We start from the raw sequence: 9,630 nt of genomic DNA on the forward strand, positions 1-9,630 counted from the left end.
AACCCGGGAGGCCGAGGTTGTAGTGAGCCAAGATCGCGTCACTGCACTCCAGCCTGGGTGACAAGAGCGAGACTCTGTCTCAGAAAAAAAGCAAAAGACCTTAATAGACATTTCTTAAAAGAAGGCACAGAAATGGGCAACAGATACATGAAAAAATGCTCAACATCACTAATCATCAGGAAGACGCACATTAAAACCACCATGAGATACCATTTTACTCTAATTAGAACAGCTATTTTTTAAAAGACAAAAGAAAACAAGTGTTGATGAGGATGTGGAGAAAAGGGAACACTTGGTGTTGGTGGAAAACAATATGAGGCACAAGAAATTTAAAATCGGCCAGGCACGGTGGCTCACACCTGTGATCCCAGCACTTTGGGAGGCCAGGAGGGAGGATCACTTGAGCCCAGGAGTTTGAGAGCAGCCTGGACAACATAACAAGACCCGATCTCTACAAAAAATTAAAAAAAAAAAAATTAAGGCCGGGCGCGGTGGCTCACACCTGTAATCCCAGCACTTTGGGAGGCCGAGGTGGGCGGATCACCTTAAGTTGGTAGTTCAAGACCAGCCTGATCAACATGGAGAAATCCCGTCTCTACTAAAAATACAAAATTAGCCGGGCGTGGTGGCACATGCCTGTAATCCCAATTACTAGGGAGGCTGAGGCAGGAGAATTGCTTGAACCCAGGGGCGGAGGTTGTGGTGAGCCAAGATCACGCCATTTCACTCCACCCTGGGCAACAAGAGTGAAACTCCATCTCAAAAAAAAAAAAAAAAAAATTAAAAAATTTAGCCAGGCGTGGTGGTGCACACATTTAGTCCCAACTACTCAGGAGGCTGAGGTGGGAGGATTGCTTGAGCCCAGAAGGTTGAGGCTGCATGAGCCGTGATAGTGCCACTGCACTCCAGCCTGGGTGACACAGTGAGACCCTGTCTCAAAAAAAAAAAAAAGAAAGAAAAAGAAAAAAGAAATTAAAAATAGAGCTAACTACCATCTGATCTAGCAATCCCACTGCTGGGTATATATCCATAGGACATGAAATGGTGTGTCAAGGAGATCTGCACCCTCATGTTTATTGCAGCATTATTCACAGTAGCCAGATATGGAATTAACCCAAGTGTCCATCGATGGATGAATGGATAAAGAAAATGTGGTATCTATACACAACGGAATCCCATTCAACCATAAAAAGAATGAAATCCTGTCATTTGCAACAACATGAATAAACCTGGAATACATCATGTTAAGTGAAATTAGCCAGACACAGAAAGACAAATACTGTGTGATCTTATATGTGGAATTTTTTTTAAAGAGTTGAGGGTAGGTGCAGTGGCTCACAAGTGTAATCCCAGTGATTTAGGAGGCCAAGGCAGGAAGATCCCTTGAGGCCTGGAGTTTGAAACCAGCCTGGGTAACCTAGAGAGACCCTGTCTCTACAATATATATATACACACACACACACACACACACACACACACACATATATATATATATATATATATATATATATACATATATTTTTTTAATTAGCTGGGCATGGTGGTGTGAGCCTGTAGTCCCAGCTACTCAGGAGGCTGAGGTGGGAGGATCATTTGAGCTCAGGACTTCAAGGCTGCAGTGAGCTAGGATCATGCCACTGCCCTCCAGCCTGAGTGACAGAGTGAGACCCTGTCTGTATACAAAACAAAAAAGGCTGATATCTTAGAAGCACAGAGACTGGAGAAGGGAGCACAGGGAGAGGTTCGTCGACAGTACAAAATAACAATTAGATGGGAGGAATAAGTTCTGGTGTTCTGTGCACAGTGGGATGATGATGGTTAACAGTAAGATATTGCATATTACTGTTAAAATAGCTAGAAGAGGCCTGTCATCCCAGCACTTTGGGAGGCCGAGGTGGGCGGATCACCTGAAGTCAGGAGTTCAAGACCAGCCTGGCAAACATAATGAAACCCCATCTCTACTAAAAATACAAAATTAGCCGGGTGTGGTGGCGGGCACCTGTAGTCCCAGCTACTCTGGAGGCCAAGGCAGGAGAATCGCTTGAACCCAGGAGACGGAGGTTGCAGTGAGCTGAGATCGCACCACTACACTCCAGCCTGGGGGCAAGAGAGCAAGACTCCATCTCAAAAAATAAAAAATAAAAAATAAAATAAAATAGCTAGAAGAGAGGTATTTGCATGTTCGCATTGTCAAGAAATGATACTTGCATGAGGTGATAGGTACACTAACTACCGTGATTGGGTCATTGTGCAACGTGATATGAATTGGCACCATAAATATGCATGATTACAATGTATCAAGAAAAAACAAATAAAGCCAAGAAAATAATCTAAAACTCCAGGTTTCCTCAATATTTCTTTATAAGAAAAATCCTTGAATAGATTAAATTGTTTTATTCTTCATTTAAGAAATAGCTGTATGTCTTTGTCTTCTCTCCAGTTTTATCACAGTACGAAGTATGTAAAAGTGACAATGGGAACACTGTGCTTTGGTTTTTGCAAGATTTGAGATGTATCCATTATGATTTTCTCATGAGAAATTTTATTATGTTGACCTTTCTAAACCCATAATACTTACCTTGCAGATCACGTACGTCAGCATTTCTTACACTAAATATCTAAGGTTTTGTAAATGTAAACACGAGTTGAGCTAAACTGAGTTATAATAATGAATATCTGTATTTTTAAAATCAACCTTTTAAACTTCCAACAATAGCAGTAATTGTGTAGCCCTACAAAGTTACTCCACCTTGTAAACGGAATAAATTGTAGTGTCATATTTGTCAAATTTTATTCATGAAGTGTGATCATATTGTGCTACTATCATTTCTTTTTTTCTTTTTTTTTCTTTTTTTTTTTTTTTGAGATGGAGTCTTGCTCTGTTGCCAGGCTGGAGTGCAGTGGCATGATCTTGGCCAACTGTAACCTCCGCCTCCTGGGTTCAAGCGATTCTCCTGCCTCAGCCTGTCGAGTAGGTGAGATTACAGGCGTGCGCCACCACACCCAGCTAATTTTTGTATTTTTAGTAGAGACAGGGTTTCACCATGTTGGCCAGGCTGGTCTTGAACTCCTGACCTCGTGATCCGCTCACCTGGCCTCCCAAAGTGCTGGGATTACAGGTGTGAGCCAACACGCCCAGGCAGCCTAGTATAATTTCTAAGATTCCCTCATCTACTGACTTTGATACCTGGGGTAGACAATAAATTGAGGTAATTAGCAAGTATATTTACCTGGATAATCTCCAAAGGAATGAAAATTCATAAAGACAAAATGCAAACACACACAGTTATTTCTGACATATATGTATTCTAGTCTATGCATAAACACAATGGTGCCACACAACACTCATAAATCAGAAAATCACTGTAGTCTAAACATTGTTTTGTGCTATGCCTGAATTTTTACTTATTTTTTTTTTAGAGACCGAGTCTCACTCTGTCACCCAGGCTGGAGTGCACTGGTGCAATCCTAGCTCACTGTGGCCTCAAACTCCTGAGCTCAAGTGATCCTCCCACCTCAGCCTCCCAAGTAGCTGGGATCACATGCGGGTGCCACTACACCCTGCTAATTTTTGCATTTTTACTTTTTGTAGAGATGGGGCCTTGCTGTGTTGCCCAGCCTACTCTCGAACACCTGGCCTCCAAGCAATCCTCCCATCTTGGCCTCCCAAAGTGCTGGGATTACAGGCATGAGCCCCCACGCCCAACCTATGCCTGATTTTTAAATTTTTACTATAAAACCTAAACTTTTAAAGCAGTAAATAATACCACTACCTGAACATCTGTGTGTGTGTGTGTGTGTGTGTGTGTGTGTGTGAGATGGAGTCTCACTCTGTTGCCCAGGCTGGAGTGCAGCGGCGTGATCTCGGCTCCCTGCAACCTCTGTCTCTCAGGTTCAAGCAGTTCTCCTGCCTCAGGCTCCCAAGTAGCTGGGATTACAGGCACACACCACCATGCCTGGCTAATTTCTGTATTTTTAGTAGAGATGGGGTTTCACCATGTTGACCAGGCTGGCCTCAAACTTCTGACCTCAGGTGATCTGTCTGCCTCAGCCTCCCAAAGTGCTGGGATTATAGGCATGAGCCACCATGCCTGGCCGTGAACATCTTTTACTGTGACTGCATATAAGTGTATGTTTACATAAACATACATAGAGGTGTATTACATCAATGAATGTTTTTTAAAGTTTCTGTATGATGGAGTGCAGAGGCCTGGGCGCAAGGGAGTAAAGGGTCTTTAAGTAATCAATATATTTTCAACCTCAAGTATCCTATCTAGAGCCAGAGGTTTTTTTTCTCACCCTACTAGGAGCTCACAGCACTGCAAATCTGTTAACAGAGGTGCTTTTATGCTGCCCCTTGGCATGGTTATTTCATAACTGCAGCCAATTATAAGAGAACAAGCAATCGAACAGAACAAAGAGCAAAGGCTCTTCCTTTGTGGAGGAGCTAAAATTCCCACTGCTTACCATGTTACCTTCTCCTGTGTGTTGTTATCAAATATTGGGACTCTGGTTACACTGTCAAGGCCATGGGCCTTTCTTGTTCTAGGGCAGCTGTGCTCCTCTCTTAAGCAACTGACCCGTGTCTCCTGGCAACTCTCTTTGGTACTGGACTTCTCCAAGATCAGTCCTCAAATTAATAACAACACTGACAAGGGTCTTCGGACCACCGTGTTTGGTACCTGGCTGCTTGGGACCATCCAGGTTTGCCCCTTTGCCTGGCTTGGGTAACCCACTGTATGGTGCACACGAATAAAGGCTGATGCCGAGAAGAATGAGGCTTGTAGTTACGAAAAGTGACTCAATGGAATTAAAAAATCTACCCTGCAGCCTGGGAGCAGTGGTTCACACCTGTAATCCCAGTGCTTTGGGAGGCCAAGGCAGGAGAGTCGCTTGAAGCTAGGAGTTGGAGACCAGCCTGGGCTATATAGCGAGACCCTGTCTCTACAGAAAAAATACAAAAATTAGCTGGGCATGGTGGTGTGTGGCTGTAGTCCCAGGTACCTCGAGAGGCTGAGGCAGGAGGATCGCTGGAGCCCAGGAGGTCGAGACTGCAGTGAGTTGTGATCGTGCCACTACTGCAGCCTGGGTCACAGAGCAAGATCCTGTCTCAAAACAAACAAACAAACAAACAAACAAACAAAAACTATCCTGTAAATGTATAAAAATGTCACTAATTTCAATGTGTTTCGGTAAAAAGGAATGAAGTACCGATACATGCTGAAATTCAGATAGATCCTCAAAAGCATTTTGCTCAGTGAAAGAAGCCACACATGAAAAGTCACATATCAGATGAGCCACTTTATGTGAAATATCCAGAATAGAGGAATTCATAGACACAGACAGCAGATTAGCGGGTGCCAGGGGCTGAGGGATTAGGGGATGGGGAGTGGCCACGTAATGGACACGGGGTTTCTGTACGGCATGATGAAATATTCTGAAAGTACATAGTGGTGATGGTGGCACAACGTGCATTAGTAAATGCACTAAATGTCACTACACTGTACACTTTCAGATGACTAATTTTATGTTATGTGATTTTCACTTTAATTAAAAACCACCATATTGGCCAGGCGTGGTGGCTCACAACTATAATCCCAGCACTTTGGGAGGCCAAGGCAGGAGTATCATTTGAGCCCAGGAGTTCGAGACCAGCCTGGCCAACATGGTGAAACCCCCATCTCTACAAAAAATACACAAAAAATTAGCCATGTATGGTGGCATACACCTGTAGTCCCAGCTACTTGGGAGGCTGAGGTGGATCGCTTGAGACCAGGAGGCAGAGGCTGCAGTGATTGGAGATCGTGCCACTGCACTCCAGCGTGGGTGACAGAGTGAGACTCTGTCTCAAACAACAACAAAAACACAAAATATTTTGGTAATGCATAACTTCTTGGGATGAATTTTAAATGTTTATTTTTTTATGCAAGAGCTAACACAAGTGCTCTCAGCACGATGACTTTTTACCTTCTGAAAGATTGTATTGTGAGCTTTAAAATCTCTTTGTCCATTAATAGTTTTAGTGACTCACAAAATGGAGATTTCCAGACCCAAGATAGCTAGAAACAAGTGGCCTAGCAGGACAGGGTCATGGTGTACAGCCAAGCTGTACCTTGGTGTGAATGCAGGGGCTAGAACGCATCAACACCAAGGTTTATCAAGTGGTGACAATGTGGACACCAATACTTGGAAAGTGGCAGCGCCACTGTCATAGACCCCCACTTTCCCATCAGAGATCCCAGTGCCAAGGCTGTACCAACTTCTTTCTGTTCCTTGGGTTTTCTCTTTTTTTCTTTCTTTTTTTTGGGGAGACAGGGTCTCGCTTTTGTCACCCAGGCTGGAGTGCAATGGCACGAACTCAGCTCAGTGCAACCTCTGCCTCCCAGGTTGAAGTGATTCTCCTGCCTCATCCTCCAGAGTAGCTAGGATTACAGGCACCCACCACCACACCCGGCTAATTTTTGTATTTTTAGTAGAGACGGGGTTTCACCATGTTGGCCAGGCTGGTCTCGAACACTTGACCTCAGGTGATCCACCCACCTCGGCCTCCCAAAGTGCTGGGATTACAGGCGTGAGCCACAGTGCCCAGCCTAGGGTTTTCTCTTAAACATGGGAATGGATGGAACACCTCTCACTGGATGAGGTAGATTGTTTCCAAAGATGGCTGCTCCCATGGCTCCCATTCTGCATGTCCTTCTATAGCATTACTTGGCACTCCGCCCAACAAGAGGCGGAGGCTTTTTCCCCTTCTCTGGAATCAGAGCTGGCCTTGTGACTTGTTTTGACTACTAGGATGTGGCAGATGGAACATTAGGTGACTTCCAGGCCTAGGCCATAACAGGCATTGCAGTTTCTGTCGTTGCCCTCTTGGAAGCCAGCACCATAGGAAGAAGTCTGGGCTATCCTGCTTGAGAGGCCGCATGGAGAGAGAGGCCCTGCAGGATGAGATGCCATGTGGAGGAGAGTAATACAAGCCAGCTAACAGCCAGCACCAACTGCCAGACATGGCATGAGTGACCCCAACCAACACGAGGTGGAGCAGAAGAACTGTGCCTTACAGATCAGTCGATACATAAACTCATAAGAACTCATCAATTGTTATTTTATGCCACTAAATTTTGGGGGGGCTTGTTAGGCAGCTCTACACTTGAGATCCAGACCAAATGGAGAGAGTATGGTAAGCTCTGGGGAGCAGGTCGCAACCTGAAAAGCCTGGCAGACTCGACTCATGGAGGAAGACTGCTGGCCCCTACTTATTCCCCCAGCAGAATAAGTAATAATTACAAAGGATTTGCAGGGAACAAGGGAAATGGATGAGGAAGAGACAGTTCTTGTTCTCTATCTGTCCAGGAATATTTTTTGGCATCATCCTTAGTGTACTATTTCTAATAGTCATACAATGACGTCTTGTCCTCTTGCCCTTTCTCTATTTCTCCATTTAACAGGTTAGGTCTGTGCAGGCTGGATAGTGCAGCTGGGACATCTAGGACCACATTAGATCCTAGATGCCTCCAAGGCAAGAGATAGTATCACAATGTAAAAAATGCTTGTATAGGCTGGGCGAGGTGGCTCACGCCTGTAATCCCAGCACTTTGGGAGGCTGAGGCGAGCAGATCACTTGAGGTCAGGAGTTCGAGACCAGCCTGGCCAACATGACAAAACCCCGTCTCTACTAAAAATACAAAAATTAGCTGGGCATGGTGGTGCTTGCCTGTAGTCCAGCTACTCGGGAGACTGAGGCAGGAGAATGGCTTGAACCCAGGAGGTGGAGGTTGCAGTGAGCTGAGATCACACCACTGCACTCCAGCCTGGGGGACAGAGTGAAGCTCCATCTCAAAAAAAAAAGAAAAGAAAAGAAAAACAAAAGAAAATGCTTGTATAGCAAATAGGTTACGCTTTAGAAAACCACAGCTATCTTTGATAGAGGAGTATGGGTTGAGATCATATTCATCTTGACTTTTATTCGTTCAAATGATTACATCAATGACTAACCTCAAGTGAGTTTATGACTGGGCAGGGAATGTGACCAACATCTAAAGTCTGTGCCATGCCACTGCCCACGGGCTGCTTGGCTTCAGAACAAAGCGGTTATTTGCATCAGTGAATCCAAGTTGGTCCTCTTGCCTCCCATGCTATAATTGGAAACACCGAGTTTGTAAGTACAATGTCACCAGAAATGTCACTTGTAAATGCAAAGCTCAAATCATCAGATCCAAGACTCTAAGACACCCAGCCTTGCAGAACAAGGATGGAACTTGAGAGGGGAGAGAATGTGCTAGAGCTTACACTGATGACCTGGAGGGTCACAGCCTTACCCAGATGTACAGGGGCTGCCGTCAGAGTGGGGACAAGTTTTCTGTTCAAAGGCAGTAGAAAGCTTTTTAGAACAATGGAAGCAAATAATATCTCTTGTTGCATTGTGTACAAAATGTGAGACAGATCAATGGAATACACACAATAACAGATAAAGGAAATACACAGGAAATGCGTGCAAGAAAAACACCTGGGTCCCTGAATGACAGGAAATAGTGCTGTCTAATAGTGCACTAAGATTCTGTTAGAAATTTCTTCCCTAGCAATGAAAGACAGTTAAAGGGAATCATGTCATTGTATGTGCAAATCTTGGTATTTTAATTGCATATGTATCGTATAAATTAAGCTTTTGTCTGATTTCCACTGTCTGTAAGAGTTAAAATTAAAAAAATAAACACTTGGCTGGACCACACACTGAATTAATGATTTTAACACAAAAATGATACTGAAGAGAATGTGAATGCACTAATGCCACCGAACTGTGTGTACTTAAAAACGGTTAAGATGGTAAGTTGTATGTTATGGGTATTTTACCACTATTAAAAAAAAGTTTTTAAGAAAAAAGGCTAATAAGATTTCTGGGTTCAGGCAGGAGTAGGAAGGCAGCGAAAACCCGAATTCCCCCACTTCTCCTAAAAGAAGTCCAAACACAGGAAGAATGAATGAGCCCCCCTCCTTGATATACTGGAGGAAACCAGAACCTGTGCCATCAGAAAGCGCTAGGATGTGACAAAGCAGGGAGGGGACTACAAAGGGCCCCAGCGGTCCCGACCAGGATCCACCCTTTCAGGACATGGCCCAGGCCCGCTCAGGATCGCATGGGGGCAGATGCGAGCCCCAGGAGAACTCCCGAGGACCCGCGGCGGCCGCCGGGGGCTTCCTGACGCGCGAGCGGCGAGGCGGCGCCAGAAGAGGGCGCCCGGGAGCCGAACAGGAGGCCAAACCCCGGGCCTTCCCGCGTTCCCGGGGGTCCCCGTGCTAAGGCAGACAGAAGGCGCCCACCTGTCAACAGTGAGAACCAGAATCCACAAAGGCCAAAGTGCGGAAGGCACTGAGACAAAGCAAAGCGACCCACAGAGCAAGAGGACCGAGCCGCCGCCGCCGCTCACCGGAAAAAGCGTTGCACAGGGCCCGAGGCAGGGGCTTCGCAGAGGCGTTCAGCTCACCGCTGGGAGCTGTTCTGGGGCTCCGGGTCCCACGGCCGTTTGCCCAGCCGTTTCCGAAGCCGCAGCCTTGCTCCGGATTCGCCTCGCACTTTTTTTTTTTTTGGACAGTGCTAGGAAACATGCGTTTAATAAAGAAATCTAGGCATGCAGT

General features: G+C 45.4%; 2 annotated features.

The window, feature by feature from the left end:
• Window positions 9,040-9,334: a silencer, noted in NCBI's record as "tiled region #3572; HepG2 Repressive DNase matched - State 12:CtcfO". NCBI's record gives its function as "represses a minimal TATA promoter and a strong SV40 promoter by Sharpr-MPRA in HepG2 cells {active_cell/tissue: HepG2}" and the evidence as "EXISTENCE:reporter gene assay evidence [ECO:0000049][PMID:27701403]".
• Window positions 9,058-9,107: an enhancer, noted in NCBI's record as "active region_30054". NCBI's record gives its function as "activates an Ori minimal core promoter by ATAC-STARR-seq in GM12878 lymphoblastoid cells {active_cell/tissue: GM12878}" and the evidence as "EXISTENCE:reporter gene assay evidence [ECO:0000049][PMID:35858748]".

This window comes from Homo sapiens, chromosome X, assembly GCF_000001405.40.
Source record: "Homo sapiens chromosome X, GRCh38.p14 Primary Assembly".
NCBI classification, from domain to species: Eukaryota; Metazoa; Chordata; class Mammalia; order Primates; family Hominidae; genus Homo; species Homo sapiens.